This window comes from Homo sapiens, chromosome 2 (assembly GCF_000001405.40).
Source record: "Homo sapiens chromosome 2, GRCh38.p14 Primary Assembly".
Lineage (NCBI taxonomy): Eukaryota > Metazoa > Chordata > Mammalia > Primates > Hominidae > Homo > Homo sapiens.
Genome location: NC_000002.12, coordinates 10,156,078 through 10,176,581, shown reverse-complemented (window position 1 = coordinate 10,176,581; position 20,504 = coordinate 10,156,078). Strand labels below are relative to the sequence as shown.

General features: G+C 53.2%; 1 protein-coding gene across 1 annotated transcript in view, besides 5 other annotated features; it reads right to left on the bottom strand.

The window, feature by feature from the left end:
- RRM2 (ribonucleotide reductase regulatory subunit M2) overlaps positions 1 to 20,504 on the bottom strand; it is an 88,443-nt gene that overhangs the window by 34,429 nt on the left and 33,510 nt on the right. The gene's annotated exons all lie outside the window — the stretch shown is intronic.
- Positions 4,144 to 4,773: an enhancer, noted in NCBI's record as "H3K4me1 hESC enhancer chr2:10311935-10312564 (GRCh37/hg19 assembly coordinates)". NCBI's record gives its function as "activates a minimal SCP1, AML or CMV promoter by ChIP-STARR-seq in primed H9 embryonic stem cells {active_cell/tissue: H9 hESC(primed)}" and the evidence as "EXISTENCE:reporter gene assay evidence [ECO:0000049][PMID:30033119]".
- Positions 4,774 to 5,403: an enhancer, noted in NCBI's record as "H3K4me1 hESC enhancer chr2:10311305-10311934 (GRCh37/hg19 assembly coordinates)". NCBI's record gives its function as "activates a minimal SCP1, AML or CMV promoter by ChIP-STARR-seq in naive and primed H9 embryonic stem cells {active_cell/tissue: H9 hESC(naive and primed)}" and the evidence as "EXISTENCE:reporter gene assay evidence [ECO:0000049][PMID:30033119]".
- Positions 6,664 to 7,294: an enhancer, noted in NCBI's record as "H3K4me1 hESC enhancer chr2:10309414-10310044 (GRCh37/hg19 assembly coordinates)". NCBI's record gives its function as "activates a minimal SCP1, AML or CMV promoter by ChIP-STARR-seq in naive H9 embryonic stem cells {active_cell/tissue: H9 hESC(naive)}" and the evidence as "EXISTENCE:reporter gene assay evidence [ECO:0000049][PMID:30033119]".
- Positions 12,443 to 13,047: an enhancer, noted in NCBI's record as "H3K4me1 hESC enhancer chr2:10303661-10304265 (GRCh37/hg19 assembly coordinates)". NCBI's record gives its function as "activates a minimal SCP1, AML or CMV promoter by ChIP-STARR-seq in naive H9 embryonic stem cells {active_cell/tissue: H9 hESC(naive)}" and the evidence as "EXISTENCE:reporter gene assay evidence [ECO:0000049][PMID:30033119]".
- Positions 13,048 to 13,653: an enhancer, noted in NCBI's record as "H3K4me1 hESC enhancer chr2:10303055-10303660 (GRCh37/hg19 assembly coordinates)". NCBI's record gives its function as "activates a minimal SCP1, AML or CMV promoter by ChIP-STARR-seq in primed H9 embryonic stem cells {active_cell/tissue: H9 hESC(primed)}" and the evidence as "EXISTENCE:reporter gene assay evidence [ECO:0000049][PMID:30033119]".

Sequence of the window (20,504 nt, the reverse complement as noted above, 5' to 3'; positions counted from 1 at the left end):
TCCTTTAAAAAATTAGAAGTAGACGATGGCTCACGCCTGTAATCCCAGCACTTTGGGAGGCCGAGGCGGGCAGATCACCTGAGGTTGGGAGTTCGAGACCAGCCTGACCAACATGGAGAAACCCCGTCTCTACTAAAAATACAAAATTAGCCGGGCATGGTGGCGTATGTCTGTAATCCCAGCGACTTGGGAGGCTGAGGCAGGAGAATCACTTGAACCCGGGAGGCGGAGGTTGCAGTGAGTCAAGATTGCGCCATTGCACTCCAGCCTGGGCAACAAGAGCAAAACTCCATCTAAAAAAAGAAAAAAAATTAGAAGTAGAATTACCATATGATCAGGAATTCCACTTCTGGGTATATGCCCAAAAAAACTGAAAACAGGGTCTTGAAGAGTTATTTTGTGCACACATGTTCACAGCAGCATTATTCCCAATGTCTAAAACTTGGGCAGATGCTACCCAGTGTCCACTGATTGATTAATGGATGAGCAACATGCCATGATATCCATAATGAAATATTATTCAGCCTAAGAAAAGGAAAGAAATTCAGACATGCTACAGATATGGATGAACTCTGAAGACATTATGCTAAGTGAAATAAGCTAGACACAAAAAGGCAAGTACTGTATGAATCCACCCATAGGAGGTACCTAGAATGGTCAAATTCATAGGAAACACAGCCAGGCACAATGGCTCATGCCTGTAATCCCAGCACTTTGGGAGGCTGAGGCAGGTGGATCACTTGAGGTCAGGTGTTTGAGACCAGCCTGGTCAACATGGTGAAACCCTGTCTCTATTAAAAAATATCAAAAAAAAAAAATTAGCTGAGCGTGGTGGTGTGTGCCTGTAATCCCAGCTACTCAGAGGGCTGATGGGGAGAATCACTTGAACCGGGGAGGCGGAGGTTGCCGTAAGCCGAGATTGCGCCACTGCACTCCCGCCTGGGGTACATAGCGAGACTCTGTCTCAAAAACTAAAATAAAATTTTTTTTTAATTCATATGAACAGAAGGTAGGATGGTGTTTACCAGGGGCTGCGGGGAGGAGGGAATACAGAGTTAGTGTTTAATGAGTATGGAGTTTAGTTTTCCAAGATGAAAAGAGTTCTACAGACGGATGGCAGTGATGGTTATACAACATTATGAATGTATTTAATAACGTTGAACTGTACACTTAAAAATGGTCAAGATGATAAAGTTTATGTGTATTTTAACACAATTTTTAAAATAGGGGAAAAAACAGCCAGACACAAAGACCACATACAACATGGTTCGTTTATATGAGGTTTAAGAAAGACCAAACTATTCTATGGCAATAGAATCAGAATGAGGGGTTACTGAAGAGAGTGTGAGTGTGGCTAGGCAGGGCCTGCGGTGCCCTCTGGGCACTGGCCATGCTCTATATCCTAGCAGAGGTGGTCGGTGCAGAGTATGCACATGTCTAAAACTTCTCAAACTGCAGACTTCAGATTTGTGCACTTTTCTGCATGTAATTATATCTAAATCAACATTTTTAAATAAGAAAAAAGCCCACATGCCTAGATTAAGGAATAGAAGGACGACAGCAGCATGTTAGCAGGGACTTTCTGGGTATATTTGGGCATCTTTTCCTCTTCTTTCTATTTTCCCTATCTCCAAATTTCCTGTAAAATGAGGAGGTACTGCATAAGAGAAACTTTATAGTAGCTATCAACATTTTTTCTTTTTTTTTTTTTAACCATTTTTGAGTCTCACTCTGTCACCCAGGCTGGAAAGCAGTGGTGCAATCATAGCTCACTGCAGCCTCTAGCTCCTGGGCTCAGGTGATCCTCCTGCCTCTGCCTCCCAAATACCTGAAATTACAGGCATGTGCCACCACGCCTGGCTAAGTTTTAAATTTTTTGTAGAGATGGGGTCTTGCTGTGTTGCCCAGGCTAGTCTGGAACTCCTGGCTTCAGGTGGTCCTTTGTCCTCCCAAAGTGCTGGGATTATAGGCCTGAGCCACCATACCTAGCCTTTTTTTTTTTTTTTTAAGGAAATAATTCAGTAGTCTACAGTCATTGAGGTCTTCTGAAGAGAGTGACCCCTCGGGTAATGTTTCTTCCTCACTCTCACTCCACCCCATAGGCGCTCGCTTGTGGGCCTGCTTTGGCGGGGGACACAGAGCTGGGAGAGCTTCACCTACCCGGGGAGCTCACTGAAGGCCCGGCTGGTGAGGGGCCAGCATGGATGGCCATTCCCCTCTGCTGACAGCAGGGCCAGGGCAGCCTGCCACTGAGGAGCTCCTCAAATTCTGCTTCTCCCCAAGCGCTGCTGTCTTAGCTCAGGCCGCAGACAGGAAAGCGTAATCAGCAGAAATCTACTTCTCACAGTTCTGGGGACTAGAAGTCCAAGGTCAAGGTGCAGCCAGGGCCCAGTGTCCAGTAAGGGCTCCTCCTGGGTGGGAGGCAGCCGCCTCCTCCCCATGTCCTCACGTGGCAGAGAGAAGGTGGCAGGTTCTTATAAGGATCCTAATCCTAGTGGATCAGCACCCGCCCATACGACCTCATTTAACCATAATTACTGCCCTACTCCAAATGCAGCCACACTGGGGGTTTGGGCCTCAACATGTGAATTGCAGGGGACACAGTTCAATCAATGGTGCCTCCACAGTCCCACCTCCAAGGCTTTGCCAGATCACGCCCCCCACGGAGCACACCCGGTACAGAACCAGCCCAATCGCCACTCGGCCACCCAGCCACCCAGGCAGATCTAGGTCCTAATCAGCCCGCGCCAGGCCAAGGGCTCCAGAGGGCAGGAACCCTGCCTTCTGCCCGGAAGACGCAGGCCCTCGTTCTCTCCAATTTCACTGAACTGGGTTATACTGAATTCTTCTGGGCAGGTCTTCTGGCCTTGTGGCCATCAGAAGCCCAGAAGGAGACTGTGCATCGGGGGTGCCCGCGGAGCCCCATCACCTCTCTCCTCGCTCTCCTTCTCTACTGAGGCATGAGGGCCGATTCCAGGTGAGGCTCCCAAGCTCCGCAGAGCCCTGCCCAGGGGTGGTGGGAAGAGCTACTCCCATCCAGCCACGGGCCTGCATTGGGCTGGGCCTCTGCTGAGGGAGGTAGGGGGACAGACGGAGGTTTGCGGGGGTGCTGGAACTGGGTCATCCCTAGAGCCAGATGATGGGTCCAGCTGCTTCTTGGGTGACTGGCCAACGCAGTGGTGGGGATCAGGCTGTGGAAACAGGCTGGGCACTTGCCACTATTGTGCATCTTGGGATGCCATTGGGGGAGAAAGGGGACTAAGGACAGGGGAACCAAATAACGGAGAGAGATGAAATAAGACGGCAAAGAGAGAAGAGAAAGAATAATCTTCGTGGCCGACACCCCTGAGTGCCTGCTATGGAACCCATGCCGGCCAAGCTTCGCACACCTCATTCTCATGATGATCCTAGGAGGTAGGGGCTATTTATCTCCCCATTTTGCAGATGCGGAAAACTGGGCACAGAGTGTTTAAGTCACTTGTCGAAGAGCTTACAACTAGGAGGTGGTGAGCTCATTTGAACCCAGGCAGCCAGAGTCCACACTGCCGAGTGCTGTGAGAAGAAGGGAGAAAGTTGAATGGAGGCGGCAGGAGAGGACAGACAAGGAAGACGGCGAAGGAAACTGGATTTTCCATTCAACAGATATTTCCTGAGTGCTGATTTGCCACTGTTCCCCGGGACTCAGGGGGTTGGCATCACCGGTATGGGATCCGTGTGGTCACACCGGGCCCCTGCTCAGATGGGCCCTGAGCTCGGTTTCAGGCTCTGCTGCCACCATCTTGAAATTCTTCATTGTTTTTCAACAAAGGGCCCCACATTGCATTTTGCAACTGATGTGGGCAGTCCTGGGTGCAGCAACAACACACCCAGCCCCTCCCTTCGCCAGGATTCTATTCAGAGGCTGCACCGACAGACAGAAGGAAGAGGCGAAGGGGCCGACCCAGCAGGAGGCGAATGTTCTCTAATGCCATGCGGAGGGCTGGGGAAAGGGCACAGGTTGTCTTTGAAGCTGGAAAGGCATAATTCAATTATTTTCACAATTTCATTACTGGAAAAATCTATTGGCCCCAGGAGCATTCTGCTCACAAAATTGAACTAAAAACAAAAGGGCCTTCACCGTCTTCCCTCAGCTCTCGGTTGAGCCAGCTTCCTATAAATCACTGACGGAGACAAGGAGCGCTGCAGAAGCAGTGTCCTCCGTCCGCCCCTCCCCTGGTCCCTCCGGAGCAGGGTCAGATGGAGGCAGCAGAAGTGGGAGGGAAACAGGCACAGCCCAGGGACCACCACGGTGCCAGCCCCAGCCTCCTTCATCTCATCCGACCTCCCCCAGACCCTCGCCAGACAGGTGGGCCTCAGCACCCATGACTTAGAGCAGAGAAATCTCACCCCTTGCAAGGCGACACAGCAGGCTAGTTAGTATGTAGGGCAGGACTCAGCCCAGGTCTGTCTGGCTCCCAAACGCATGCCCTGTAAACACAGACGTTCCCCCTGTTAATGCACTCATGCTCAAATGCACGCAGACCCCAAAGGAGCTGTGCTTCCCCTCATCCTTGGGCGCTGGCCCGGCCTGGACTAGCAGGGCTCCTCTGCCCGGTTTTCTAAACAAGCAGCACCGTCTCCTAAGTTTTCCCAGCCTCTGGACAGGTGGGGACACCTCACAGCTCCTGTCTTCTCCTCTTCATCCTGAGCAACACAAGGGCCAAGTTTCTGTATATTTTGTTTGTTCCTGAGACCTCGTGTCCAGAACAGTGCCTGACACATAACTGACACTCAATATTTTTTAATAAGAAAGACTGTTTCAGGGACGTTGCTGGTGGAGAGGTGTCTGTGACTATTCTGCAGCTGAGTAGGATTCATTCCTGCCTCTGCCCGGCTGCCCTGCTCGGCTCCCTATGCCAGGGGTCCTGGGGTGGCATCCGTGTCGTCCTGACCCAGATGCTCAGGACAGCGGCTGCTGCTGCTCCCAGATCACCCTGTTCCTTTGTTCAGCATCAGCTCTGTCTCACAGGCCACATTAGGGAGACTCTGGCACTGACCGGGGGACACCACCTTGCCAAGCCCTGCTTAGCTCACTCGACCCACAGGCCCCTCTTTAGGAACAATTGCAGAAATGTCACCAGCTGACATGAAGGGCCGGGGCTGCCCTGGAAGCACGGCTCAGGAGGAAGGCGGGAGATGCAGACAACAGCAGCAGCCAAACCCGACAGTTTCTCAGCCCACTGGTGCCACTGGATTTCTCTTTCCCTTTGCTGTGCCTTGCTTGGTACTGCATGGCTGTTAGCAAGGAGTTGCTCTGTGTTTGTCTTATCTCATTTAATCCTCCTGACAGCCCAGGGGGCAGAGCTGACTGTTCACCAGTGAGGAGGCTGGGCCAAGCTGCCAGCCAGCAGAGGAGGGGTATGGCCTCCACACCACACGTTGCCCCATCGCAGGCTCGATGCCTGGGGTCTGTGCAGGCCCCGCAGCCTATAATGAGTGGCGCAGCCTATAATGATGAGTGGCGCAGCCTGTGCTGGGTCTGCTCAGTGTGGAGGGTCATCTAGATGCCCACGTTTCCCCTGATGAGGCCTGAGCCCCGCATCTCAAAGGAGCTTGCAGCCCCGAGGTGCCTGGGCTGGGGACAAGCCCCCTCTCTGTCACTTAGCTCTCTCCTTTTAAAGGACGTCACTTCTCCTGGTCTCTTGATTTTGGAACAGACACAGCTTCTTTCTGGCATCTGATTCCTAATCAGGCGTTCATTCCGCTGTGCTCTCAAAGGGCTGTGGCTGGGGGCGGGGGCGTGGGGGTGCGGGACACAGGCCCCATGGAGTCTCCTGTGCTGCCCCTGCTGTGCCAGGCACACGGGAGCCTGCACACCCCCTTCCAGCAGCAAGAAAGCAGGTTGGAGAGAAGGAGGAGGGAGGAGAGGGGGAGACCCAGGCCGTAAATGACCCATGACCCAGCTGGGGCTGATGTCTGTCCCCACTGCCGACCCAAATGACCGCAGTCACCCTGGGGCTGAGCTCATCAGCTGCCCAGGCGCCTCCTTGGCATCATTCTCTCTTGTTCCCCTCCTCTCTCTCTCTCTCGCCTGACAGGAAAACAAAGCTGACATTACAGCCCATTCACCCCTGCCCCCTAGCATTCATGACTCACCCTGAAATTCCCCCCTGGTTCCAGCGCCCACGAGCCAGGGACCGTCTGATTTCACCACGGGGCAAGATCAAAGTGACCTGGCCAAGTGACCGCTTCTTGAGGAGGGAGGACATTTATTTCCATGATAAGCAAGTCAACTCCCAAGTCATGATATATTTATGTTCTATGTCTCCAGCCACCTGCTCAGCCTCAAAATCAAATTCCATTTCCAAAGAGGAAATATGAAAGGTAATTGGGAAAACTGGGAATGGGTCATCCTGGAAGGTAGAGGCGGCTCAAGGGGTTCTGGCAGGTGCAGGTGCTCACTCTGGATGTCCGGAGCGTGACTTAAAGCTAGGAAGTTGGCAGGGAAAGGCACCTCCTTCTCTCTGGAAAGCCTGAGCCCCAGTCCCGGGGGCCTCCCATGCTGCCTTCAGGGACAGCAGGGGCATCAGCTGCTCCCGTGGCCTAGCTCACTCGGGTACCAGAATCTGGATCAGAACCATCAGGTGGGGCCACTCGCTATGTAAACGGGATGCCAGCCAAGGCCTCCCAGGCCCTCAGGAACTAGGAAAACCTGACTCACATCTCCCTCTTCTCCCCAAGTTCCAGCGTGGGCAGAAGTTCAAAGCCAGCTCCCAGACTTCCTCAGATCCCCGGGGGCTGCCATCCCCCCTGGCCTCAGCCTCCTGCTCCTGCTCCCGTCCTCAGGAAGCCCAGTGCGGAGGCCAGCTCTCCAAACTCAGAGACACTCATTTTCATGGCATGAGCACTCAGGGCTGTGCAGACCTCGAGGGGGCCAGGAAAGGGGCGCATATTCTGTGGCCGTGCCTGCCAGCTTCCAAGGAGCAGCCGCCGTCTTCAAATGCCCTCCCTCTGCTGGGGAGCCCCCCTGCGCCTCCCCAACCCCAGCTCACCCTCACCGTCCTGGCTTTGCATCTCTTACAGTCTCTGTAGCAAAAACCAGAACCTGTCCCATGCAGAGCATTTTGCTGGCTTCTCTGTTGCGTTGGCACCAGAGGACATCAAGGCCTTCACAGCGCCTATGAGCACTTTTCTAGAACAAAGACAGTCTTTGTCTTTCAGAGCAATTCTGGACCCAGCAATTAACCTAAGATTTCCCCTCATGTTGCACGTCTAAAACTACACCTGAAGGGGGTGCTTCAACTTGGGAACTTACAAAGAGAAGCAGCTGGGCACAGTGGCGCACACCTGTAATCCCAGCACTGTGGGAGGCTGAGGCAGGAGGATTGAGCCCGGGAGTTCAAAACTAGCCTGGGCAACACTGTGAGACCCCATCTCTACAAAAAAAAAAAAAAATACAAAAAGTAGCTGGGCATGGTGACATGTGCCTGTAGTCCCAGCTACTTGGAAGGCTGAGGTGGAAGGATGGCTTGAGCCTGGGAAGTGGAGGCTGCAGTGAGCTGTGATTGTACCACTGCACTCCAGCCTGGGTGACAGAGCAAGACCCTGTCTCTAAATAAATAAATAAATATTATAATAATAATTAAGAGAAGCAAGTGATCAGTGTTTGTTGAATAACAGATGAAACACGGGTGTGTGTTGAGCATTTGCTCTGTGATGGGAGTTGGGAGCCACTGCCTGAAGGAGTCCATGGTACAGTTGCACAGGTTGGGTACTGAGGAAAGGTTGGATTGAAGGAGAGAAGAATGAGTGGGTGATCAGGTTGGTGGGTGGGTAGAAGGAAGGAATGACTGGATAAATGGAAAAGAAAAGGAGAAAAGAGAGGGAAGAAATGAATAAACAGGACAGGTGGCTGGAAGGTGGAGGAGCCGGCCAGGCCAGAGCCGGCACATCTTTTTAGCAGGTAGGGATGCATAGGAGAGTGGTGTGAGACCCACCCCAACCCCCAGAGTTGGTATCAAGATTATTTTAAACTGAAGACATTTGAGATTCAACAGATCCAGAAAGAAGCATTTTTGGAGTTTCCCTTATCTGACTAAAAGCAGAAACTTCTGGGAGTGAGGCTGCCATAAACCCCCTCTTCAAGAAGAGGCAGCTTCACTCCCAGGAAGGAGGCCCAGAGCGAAACTGCCATAAATTCCTTTCTGGGGTGGAGGGGAAGCCCTGCCAGGATGAAGATGGAGGAGATCTCTCGAACCCGCTATTAAATCAAAATTATTCAATGATGCTTGTTAATGATGGTAAGAAGGCACATTTTATTGGGGGTGTCAGGGGTGGGGGGAAGGAACTATCGCCTTAGGTATAGGACCCACTGTGATGCGATTCTGCAGTTGGGGAGAGAGGTTGGGCTCAGCCACATATACAGCAAGGAAAAGTAGGAATTAATAGCCGGAGCAGGGTGGGGATCAGTGGAGGAAAAACTACTAAGGGGAAACACCAGGAATGAGGGGGCTCTGGCTAAACCAACCTAGCAGGATTTTTGCTTAAGGCAAAAAAAAAAAAAAAACAGAAAAGCCTTTGTCTTTTCTACTGTTGATCTGTTGACTGTTAAATTTCTCAGACCCCCAAACACAGAACAAAGTAGGTAGAGGAAGAGCTTTTCCTCCTGACACTATAGTTTGCATGCTTTAGAGCTGTCTCCAAGAAAGCCCGGGAGACAATTCCTCTGGCCAAGCAGACATTTGACCTAAGGGCTTATTAAATCTCAGAGGCAGCCACCATGGCCTTGTGTGGGAAGAGAAATCAGAACGGCCAAGTTATCTTCAGATGAGGACAGGCAGGCCATAGGTCTCTGCCATGAAGAGTTCTGGGTGGGAACCCATGGTCCAGTACACTGCCACCCAGGCTGGGGACATCGGCCCTGATCCCACCTCTCCACTTCCTCCTGGCCCAGAGAGAAGACACAAGGAGGAAGAGCCAGGACACAGGATGAGCAAGGGACAGAGGACCTTCCCACCACCACGCCCGCTGAAAAAACCTGGCCCAGGACTACACACAGCCTGAGAGGAGAGAAAGAAGCAAGGCAGGGCGCAGCGTGCAGAGCCCTGACACTCACCAGCTACCACATCCTACGCACAGGCACGGACACACACCCACCACCCCACTGTTTGTCCTCTGCAGCCAGGCAGGGCGAGAGGCGAGTCCAAGCCGAGCAGTGAGACCTCAGCAGCAGGGCATTCAAGAGAAGGCTGTCCTGGGCCCTCGGATCAGCTTCTTCCCAATTCCATCAAGAGGGCCTTTTGCTTCCAGTCATTTGCCCTTCACTGGCTCATCATTCCTTGATTGGTTCAATCTTTTATCAACAATCATTTACTGAGCGCTTCTTATGGGGCAGGTGCTACACCAGACCCAGAAAAACCAAGGCAGATAAAACAGTCAGGAGGGTGCCACGCAGGGGTGGGAGAGTGGCAGTCGAGGCGTGTCTCGAGAGCAGCTGTGCCAGGGCTCTTGACAGGTGTCACATGCCTGAATCAAACAGCATTTGACATCCTGCTCCAGAAGGCAGAGTTCTTAGCCGTGTTCTCAAAGCATCTGCCATCCTGCTGACACTGGCCCCAGCAAAGTGACCACGGCCTGTCCCCATCATAAGTGGCACGTACAGACACACTTGTTTCCTAACAGGGTCAGTGGTGACCCATTGCCACGCTCCCAACCCCGCCAGGGTAAAAGCTCTGAGAGAGAGACCATGAGCAAACCATCACCATCTAGACACGCTCATGCTTGTGGAGTGCTTAGGACACAGGCGGGGACGCAGGGCCTGTTCCATCGCCGCTCAGCAAATAGAATGTGATGACAAGGCACTGCTGCGTGGGAGCATCCAAGCAGCTGGTGCGCCATAGGGAACAGGGCGAGGGCTTTGCAGGCAACAGGCTGAGCCTTGATCCCTGCCTCTGCACCTGCTAGCTACGCATCGCAGACGGGCCTCAGTTTCTTCAGCTGTGAAATGGGACCATAATTCTCTACCCCCAGGGGCAGTGTGGAAGATAAAAGGAGACCTGGGATGCCTGACCCCTCACCAATTTGCCAGACACGGACGCAGACAGCAGGGAGCACACGCGGTATCCCTGACCCACCCTCACCCTGAGAGACCAGGCTCTGTTCAGGGCAGCTTGGTGTTCAGGGGCAGAGCACAGAAGCCAGTCGGCTGACCTAAGCGCATCGGCCACCAGGAACCTGGGGTGCGAGCAGGGCTGGTGGACAGCAGGGCCCGGGAGAAGGGCTGTGGGCCCCCGGCCTGCCCCTGCAGCCGGCTCTGGTCTCTGGACTTCACTCTCCCGCACTCAGCTCTGGAAGGCCTGGTTAATTTAGAGGAGTCATTTTAATCAATTAGATGAAGTGTAAAGTAACTGTTCAGCTCTGCTCAGGAAATGGGGCCTGTCGTCTTCAAGGCTTTATTGGAAAGGCATTAAGATGGAACGGTGTCCTCCACGCTGCCCTCACCAAGCTAAGCCAAACCTCGGGGCAGAAGGACCGTCCAGAGCCCCTGTGACGACCCAGCAAGCTGTCACCAGCAGCTGCTGTGCTCCCCTCCGGGCCGCTGGCTGCCCTTCCTGCCTTCAAAAGCCTCTGATGCGGCTGCTGCCCAGAGCTTCTAGGCACCCAGTCCAGGCTTCCTTCCCTGCCCATCCCCAGCTCCTCAGCAAAAGATCTGTGAAGCACTGTACGGAGTCACCACGGGGCATGTGCACAGGGACCAGGAAGCAATCAGCAGGCCCTGGACCCCTGCACTTATTCCAGTGAGTCAAATGCAGCTTTTCCAGCACAGCTCTTCCATTTTGGAAGGCAGCATCCCGGTCTCTCTGGGTGAACCAGTCTCTGATCTCTTTGCCTTTCCTCGTGTGTGGTGTTTTGGGTCATTCATCGCCCTGGTCACCCAGGAGAGGATGAGAGCGGTGATGATGATGAATGCCTGTGGGCACATTACACTTCCAGAGCTTGTTTAAAACTGTTATTTCCCGTAAACTTTACAATATTTATCTCCCTTTTGCCCAGCTGAGCGGCGGAAGCCTTAGAAACAGTTGGTCCCCAGCCGGTTAAATGTGGCCCCTGCGCCGTGGTCCTCACCCCTGTTGGCTTCCCTTAGGTCTGCCCTTCTTTCCACACAGGGCCCCTGTCCTGGGACCGTCAGCTACGGAGCCCACTAATGGGAGGTCCCCACATGTGACTCTACTTCAGTCCCTCTCCTGGCTGAAATTTCATCCCAGAGGATTCAGTGTAGGTGCCCAAAGGGAAACGTGTTTGATGGGGTCTCTCAAAGGCCCTGCAAGTGTTCCGATGAAGGTAACCAAAAGAGGCCGGGCACAGTGGCTCATGCCTGGAATCCCAACACTTTGGGAGGTCGAGGCAGCCGGATTGCTTGAGCTCAGGAGTTTGAGAACAGCCTGGGCAACATGGTGAAACCACGTCTCTACAAAATATAAAAAATCAGCTAGGTGTGGTGATGTGCACCTGTGGTCCCAGCTACTCAGGAGGCTAAGGTGGGAGGATGGCTTGAGCCCAAGAGGTTGAGGCTGTAGTGAGCTGTGTTCGGGCAAAAGGAAACCAAAAGAGTAAAGCGGGGTCCCCTCTGTGCGGCAGAATTCAAAACACTTTATTCAAGGAGCAGCAAAGGGTAAAGCCAGCTGAGAATGAGGAACCCCTCGCAGTCGGTGATGGCAGCCAGTGGCAGCCTTCCCCCGTGCGCCTGGCTGCAAAAACTGAGCTTGGTTGAGTAGCCTCACATCCCAGATGGACTGCAGGACCAGGGAGGGGCAGTGGGGGCCCTGGCTTGTAAGTGACGGGGGCACCTCCTGCAGGGCCCTGGCCGCCCAGATAGGAAATGGGTGGTCCCCAGGGTTGGATTCTCTGGCCACACCCACATCCCTCCCCTAGTCCCTGCATCTGTAAGTAGCCCTTAAGTTTCTGTCTCTTCTACCCTGGGATGGCATTCAAACTGTTTAACAACTAACAGGGTTCAAGCAGAGACCAATCCAAACAGATGCCAGCCTGCTCACTTCGCCCGTGAGCACTGAGTGCACCCGAGCCCTGTGTGCTCCTGAATGGATTCATCCCACTTCACTGGCTGGTTCATTGGTCGTTACAGTGACCCTCAGCGTCAAAAATAACAATGATGATAAAATGTATTGAGCACTTACTGCCAGTCCTTGTTCTGAGGCTTCCAAGTGTATTAAGCCGTCCACACACCTAGGCAGAGATGTGGATAGATGATATGATCTCTACTTACAAATAAGAAAACAGGAACAAAGTGGTTTCACACACAGCTGGTGAGGTGGAGCCCAGATGCAGACTCAGGCCAGCTCCATAGCTGGTTCTCTGTCATAACACTCTGCTGCCTCTCTTTAAAATAATGTAAAAAGAATTTGGGAAATACACCCTGGGCTCCATTCAAAAAAGGTTGAAAAATACATACACTATTTAAAAACACTTCTATCCAACACAGCCACACACACACACTCATATGCACACTCACACACACGTTCACTCATGCACACACACATATTCACACTCACACTCATGCACACACACACACACACGCACACATTCACATGCATGCTTTAGCTCGAGGGAAATGAACTCACAGGACTCTAATTTCCTGATGCCATAGGAAGAACAACGGGCATTCCTGTCATCTTTTTCATGGGAAGCTGATTCAGAGAGGCTAAGGGGCATCCCCAACGTCACACAGCCAAGAGGCAAGGCTGAGGTTTGCACTTCCACTACTCTGACTTGGAAGCCCAATGAGGTGCTCAAATTAAAATTAGAAACCTTTTCCTGTTGTCCAGGCAGAAAACCAGGAGAGGGGAGAGAACAGCCACTAGGGCAGGGACAGAGCGCGGCCACTGGGCAGCCGGGGAACCGAGGCTCGCGCCTGGCTGCAGACTTCCCTCTTCAGGCCTTTCTGGCACCATCTGCTGTGGACCCCATAGTTCCCACCCGCCACTGCCCGGGATGAGTGGGCTCCATCTGCTCATTCTGCACAGCACTCATTTTGCAGACCCGGGGAAACTGAGGCCGAGAGGGCCATGTGACTTGCCCAAGATCACACAACCAACCCTCACTGGACTGAGGGGAGTGGCCCTGAGCTTGCTGTCGGACCTGGCCTCTGCTCCCAGCCTGGCTGCCCCACACCCACATGTGGAGCTTGGTGCCCCCTGCAGGTGGTGGGCTTGGCCCCAGCCCCAGAGACAGCTACAGATGCCCCCCCACCCCCCCGCCCGTCTTTTCCCCACTCTGCCCAGCTCTGCCCTTTGGTTCTCCCAGGAACAGGCTGACATTCACCATCAAGCGCTCGCTCCCCCTCTCCCTGCAGCCAAGAGCTAATTGTCCTGATTTCTTTCCAAGAGCAGTCTCTCTGAATAGCCTTCGCAGGCACAATTAAGCAGGTTCAGCTTGACTTTCACACTCCAGTTCTGAAAAAATCAAATCAGCAAGGAAGCAGAGCCTCTTGGAAGTTCTCTGAGAGTGCCTTTGTGCAGGAACAAAGCACACACATAATTACCTGCTTCACTGATGAGCTCAGGGCCCGGGGCCCTGCGTGCAGGAGTGGCCCACTGGCAGCCCCGTGCAGACTCTGTCTACTCTATTCTTGGAAGCAGCCAGCCAGGCTGGGGCTCCTCCTGGGACCTGCAGTGGACGGCCATGCCCCGGGGGTCCCCGCCCCTGCAGGCCATTTGTCTCTACCTAAAGAACCCCTGTCATGGATGGCTGGCACAGGTGGCCCAATGTGAATAGCAAGTGCAATGGCCTTATTGTCAAGATGGAGTGCCTGAGGCCCAGAGAGGGCAAACGCCCTGCCCGAGGCCACACAGCAAGATCAGGAAGAGCTGTGACTCCCCAGGCCTCGGCAGGGGGGTGGGGGGCGGCGGGGGGGTGCAGGTGGCTGATGTCTTCCTGGGCCTGACTCTAAGGCTAACTCACGGTGCACAGTCATCCCTCCCAGAAAAAAGTGAGGGCTTTGACCTCATGAAGGAAGATGGTTTCCCACTAAACAGCGGGTGCATCGCTGTTGACAGGCCAAGGAGAGTGTGGCCGGCACTTTTTCTGGGGACAGAGAAGGAAGGGGTTCTCTATCTCCATATGGAGAAATCAAGGCCCAGACGTCACACAGCCAAGAAATGGCAGAGCTGAGACTCATCCCCGTCTCTGATTCCTGGGCCAGCGCTCATGACTAATATCAGCAACCGCCCTGCACACGCCCACACACATCGAGACGCCGCATCCCAAAGCCTGCTGTGGCAGCGTTTTGATTGACTGAGAGAATCGACATGAACGACGGGCGGCTCCACACCTCTCTATTCATCAAGAAGTTGTGCCTGGCCTGGCAGCTCGGCTGTGCCCTGTCTCCTCCCCTCTGTGCACCCGGGCATCCCGTGCACTCTTGGCACCTCTCTTCCCACTAAACAGCAGGTGTATCACTGTTGACAGGGCACCATTCATCCCAGGCAGCGGCGGATGGGAGCTGTGGGTTCTGGAGCAGATGGTGCCAGAAGGGCCTGAAGAGGGAAGTCTGCAGCCAGGCGCAAGCCTCGGTTTCCCGGCTGCCCAGTGGCTGCGCTCTGTCCTCGCCCTAGTGGCTGTTCTCTCCCCTCTCCCGGTTTTCTGCCTGGACAACAGGAAAAGGTTTCTAATTTTAATTTGAGCGCCTCACTGGGCTTCCAAGTCAGAGCAGTGGAAGTGCAAACCTCAGCCTTGCCTCTTAGCTGTGTGACGTTAGGGATGCCCCTTAGCCTCTCTGAATCAGCTTCCCATGAAAAACATGACAGGAATGCCCGTTGTTCTTCCTATGGCATCAGGAAATTAGAGTCCTGTGAGTTCATTTCCCTCGAGTTAAAGCATGCATGTGAATGTGTGTGTGTGTGTGTGAATGTGTGTGTGTGCATGAGTGTGAGTGTATGTGTGAGTGCATGAGTGAGCATGTGTGAGTATGCATATGAATGTGTGTGTGTGGCTGTGTTGGATAGAAGTGTTTTTAAATAGTGTATGTATTTTTCTCATCTGTAGAATGGAGATGAGGCTGGCCCCTCACTGGGCTGGGGAGATCCCTGGTCCAGGTTGCCACGTGACACACCTGCAAGAGGCTGTGCCCCTCGTGCACGCGGGTGGTGGAGGTCATGACACACACATCCATATCTGCCCTGCAATAAGGAAGTCAAAGTCTTGGACCTGTGCTAATAAAGAACCGCCAGGCCAGGCGCAGTGGCTCATGCCTGTAATTGCAGCACTTTGAGAGGTCGAGACAAGTGGATCACTTGAGCTCAGGAGTTCAAGACCAGCCTGGGCAACACGAGGAAACCCTGTCTCTACCAAAAATGCAAACATTTAGTCAGGCATGGTGGTGCATGTCTGTGGTCCCAGCTACTTGGGAGGCTGAGGTGGGAGGATTGCTTGAGTCTGGGAGGTTGCAGTGAGCTGAGATCACGCACACTCCAGCCTGGGCCACAGAGCGAGACCCTGTGTCAAAAAACAAAACAAAAAAAGAACTACCAGCCTGGGACAGGGTGGAGCTCAGTGCTGTGTAGCTCAGACCACGCTTTCTGCAGCCCCAAAGAGGGAGGCTCGGAAGGACGGAGCGACCAGCTAGGAAACAATTCCACAGAGAGGCAGGGCTGGGGGTCTCAGGGCCAGGCCAGCTTCAGAAAGCCTGGTGGGAGCACTGCAGGGGCGCAGGCAACAGGGCAGACAGAGGTGGCCAGGAAGGTCCTGGCTTCCCAAGAAAGCAGCCAGCTCACCTGGCGGGGGCAGGGCTCCAGGAAAGACTGAAAATACAGTGGGCTGCATGGTGCAGTGTCCTGACGTCCAGGGGTTTGGCCTGAGATGTGGGCGGAGCAGGCAGGGAAGCCATCAGATGCCCTGAGACTGGTCTGGCAGGCGGGGGTGGTCTGCACGGGTGGTCCTGGGGCAGAGGCAGAGGGGAGAGGGGACCCAAACCTCTATGGTGAATATGGGAAGGAAGGAGAGGAGCTGGGCATGAGGGAACCGCCTTAAATCCAAGCAGCCTCTAGGGAGGAGCCCCTGCCCATGCCAGCCTCCTCTCCCTGGTCTGCATGGCTCCCCTTGCTGGGTTCCACACAGTAGGCACCTTCGGTCGATTTGCTCAAAGCTGCAGGGCCCGATGGGCAAGCCCGAGGTGAAGCTCTTGGGTTTCCTGGAGTCTCCACTCAGCACCACTCCGTGCAGGCAGCAGGGACCCTGGGATTAACCAGACTTTGGCACCGCTCCCCAGGGGCCCACATCTTGTCAGGGAGTGAGATGCTGTCAGCTCAGAAGGCATTTGGATTTGATACAAAATGCTGGGGAGCAGTGAAATGAAAAGCTAGCACAGGACAATCAGGAAGGCTTCCTGGAAAGGGGTGCAGCTCAGGTGAAACCCGAACTATGTGCAAGGCGTAGGGGAGGGTATCTAGGCTGAGCCCAGCATGAGCAGAAGACGGCAGCCCATAAGAGCAGGAACCCCCTGGTTTGCCTGGGATGTAGGCGCACACAGGAAATCACACAAGAGCAGGGAAGAAACTCATCACAGAGGGCCTGGAGGGGCAGGGAGAGGGGGCTGGACTTTCCCCCGAGGGCCCTGGGGATGCACTAAGCACAAAGGGTAAGAGCAGAGCTGTGTCCTCAAGGAGAGCCGGGCCTCCTGGGCGCTTCCCACCTCCAGCCACCTCCCTCACCAGCAGAAAGCACAATCGTGAGGCTACAGAGAAACTGGGGGGCAGGCTCCCAGGGCTCCTTCAAGCCAGCGTTTCTGAAACGCTGGGCTCTTCTCCCTGGAGAGGCTTCTGGGAAACAAAGATCTGAGTGTTGGGGAAAAGCTCCAGTCTCCATCTCTGTGTGTGTGAACACACAATACAGCGGCCAATAAAGGCTCTGAGCAGCCCTGCAGGAAGGAAGCCTCTTTAACCGTTTCAACCCAGTGACGCCTAAACCTCAGTCATCCTGGAGTCTTTCTTTTCTTGCTGCACCATTAAAATCCTGTTTGAAAAACACCGCTCAGAGCTCCACCTTCTGTGAGGGCCTCGTGGAAAGACCCTGTGTCTGATCTGGGCCCAGGGGTCAAATTCAGTGCATGGAACTGAGTCGGAGGAGAGACCCGCCTAGGCCAGACCTCAGTCTCCTGAGAATTAGATACAGGAGTGGACACTATGCAAAGGCTGGCAGCCAAAAGACAGGTCTCTGGAAGAACCAAAGACTCAGCGACATTCCCAGGCTGAGGGCGAGAACCAGTCAGGGGAAAATGCTGGTGTCACCTCCTCGGATCCCTCTGGGGCTTTGCTCATCGTCTGGGTACCTGGGGCACCTGGTAGCCACTGTTTACAGCTCTTCAACTACTCAAGCCTTTGGGCTAAGGGTGTCTCCACCCACAAGGGAGTGGTCTTATCTCATTTAGGGATACAGCCCCTTTGAAAATGTCACCCACCCCCACCTTACCTCTCAGTACCAGAGGTGAACAAAAATTAGGGCCAATTTGGTCCCCATTGGAAACTGACTTCCACCTCTTGACAAGAGAGTGTGATATAAATGACTCATTTATGGAAGAAGACGTCCAAAGGACCGATGATCTGGGCCAGCCCCGCGGCACTGTTCTCACTACTACTTGGTTCTCCAAGGTGAAGGTCTGGGGACGAGCTCTCCTAGGCCTGCCCAGGTTGGGTCAGGTCAGTGTCAGCTTCTGCCTGGTCATAGCTGACCAGCTGACCAACCCCGAGCTCCCGGGAGAGAAGGCCACTCCTCGGAAGCACCCAGCTGTTCCCCAGCTGGGGCAGCCAGGCCTTCCTCAGAGCACGGCCCCGGCCCCCATGCCAGTCTCCCGCTTGGCTGCTTATTATTGAAATTCAAATAAGCATAATAAGTTTGAGGGCCCCTATTACTCCAGACACAGAAAATGAAATTAGTGAGCACAGACACTGCAATTGTATTCCAACCTCATCCTTTGGGTAAGGAAGGTGAGGGGAGGAAGAGCATCGGAGCCAGGGCTGCTTCATCCAACAGAGCTGCTTCATCACAGCCCGGAGTTAGGGCAGGCAGCAGAGGTGGCTCAGGGACCCCTCACCCTCTGTACTGAGTGCCTCAGATGGAAAGACATGGCCAAGACCCCTTTGCTCACCTAATCTCCCAGAGGCAGGCAGCATGGGGTGGCAGGAGTTGTGCAGGGGGATGATGGAAGGCTGTAGGTTCAAATCCTGGCCAGGCCACTTACAGGCTACATGAGCACAAGCCAGAATAATGATGCGCAGGAAGTTCGCGAGCGCTTTCCTGTGCCAGAACTGCTGACCGCTTTGTATCACCCCCTCACCCACTCAACAATCTGCGGAGCTCTACTGACACCCATTTCGTACATGGGAAAATGGAGAGCTCAGAAGAGTTAAATGACCTGGATTCTCTGAGCCTTGTTATTTTTTTCATCCGTAAAATCAAGGTAGCCATCCCATCTCAAAGGGTTGTGGCAAGGATTACATATGGCAGCATTTATGAAGATGACCAGAGGTGTTTGACACAGGTGAGTACCCAATAATGCTCTTCCCAGAAATGCATTCATTTAGTCACTTACCCCTCCTCTCATTCATTCCTTTATTCCTTCATTTATTCATGAACTCATTTATTTAAAATAAATAGGCCAGCTGTGATGCCCGAGGTTCCAACATTAGGCATTCTACTAGGTTACGCCATGGAAGGTTCTCACTAAAATACGTCACCTGCCCCTTTACAAGTTCAGTTCCTATGGGCAGGGTTGGTTTGCAGAGCAAGGAGCAAAACTGAGCCATTAGTTGCCTCTAATAGAGTTATTCATAATTTTAAAAATGAAATGCACAAATGCCAATCAGGGGTAGAATGAACAAACTGTAGTATAGTCAAACAATGGAATACTCTCTACAGCAACAAAAAAGATTACAGCTACCTGCAACACAGTCTCACAAGCATAATGTTGAGTCAAGCCAAAAAAGGGCACCAAAAAGTGTACCATCCTTGATCCTGTCTGCATAAAGTACCACACCGAGCAGCGGCCATCTCTGGGGATGGAAGTGGAGATGGAGGCGCCTTAGTGTGGTCAGGACTGGGAGGAGCCAAGAGGGGTTTCCTGGGTGCTAATGATGTTCTCTTTCTCCATCTGGAGGCTGACTTCACAAGTGCATACACTTTGAGAAAAGGCATCGAGCTGTGCTCTTATGATGTGTGCATTTTTCTGTAGTGTAATAATTTAGTTTAAAAAAATGTCTATTAGGGCCAGTTGCAGTGGCTGACTCCTGTAATCCCAGCACTTTGAGAAGCAGAGGCAGGCAGATCACCTGAGGTCAGGAGTTCAAGACCAGTCTGGCCAACATGGTGAAACCCCGTCTCTACTAAAAATACAAAAAATTAGCCGGGCGCGGTGGCGGGCGCCTGTAGTCCCAGCTACTCGGGAGGCCGAGGCAGGAGAATGGCGTGAACCTGGGAAGCGGAGCTTGCAGTGAGCCGAGATTGCGCCACTGCAGTCCGCAGTCCGGCCTGGGCGACAGAGCGAGACTCCATCTCAAAAAAAAAAAAAAAAAAAAAAAGAAATGGGCTGAGCTCAGAAACTCCCTTCCTCCAACACACTACCATTGATTCCAGCATCTGAAACGTTCCTCTGGCTGGGCACTGTGGCTGAAGCCTATAATCCCATCACTTTGGGAGCCCAAGGGGAGGCAGAAGGATCACTCGAGCCTGGTTGTTCAAGACCAGCCTGGCAGCATAGCGAAACCCTGTCTCTACCAAAAAATACAAAAAGTAGCCGGGTGTGGTGGCGTGGGCCTGTAATCCCAGCTACTCAGGAGGCTGAGGTAGGAGGATGGCTTGAGCCCAGGAGGCGGAAGTTACAGGGAGCTGAGGTTGCACCACTGCACTCCAGCCTAGGTGACAGAGACCCTGTCCCAATCAATCAGTCAATCAATCAAGCAGTCCCTCACACATTGTCAAAGCTCAATAAGTAGGGAATGAAAGAATAATGAACATGGCCTAGCTTTTGCACCTCTGTTCTCTCTTTCTGTGAGAACTTTCCCAGGAGGCAAGAACCCTGGTGTGCTGTTCCCAGCTCCCCAGACGACTGGAGACACAGCTGGACCCCCAGAGAGGACCCCACTGCCCAGGACTGCCCCTTCCCCTGCTCACAGCATTCAGTGAGTGCCCTGATAGGTCTTACAGGCCTGGGAGCTGTTTCTTCTTTAAGACTGTACATATCTCTGATCCATTATAGCAAGCTTGTCCAACCCGTAGCCCAGAACGGCTTTGAATGTGGCCCAACACAAATTTATAAACTTTCTTAAAACATTATGAGTTTGTGATTTTTAATTGTTTTTAGCTCATCAGCTATCGTTAGTGTTAGTGTATTTTATGTGTGACACAAGCCAATTCTCCTTCCAATGTGGCCAAGGGAAGCCAAAAGATTGGACACCCCTGCCTTACAGGCTAACTGAAAAGTGAGCTCTGAGAGCAGTTAGAGCTCCAAGGTCTAGAGG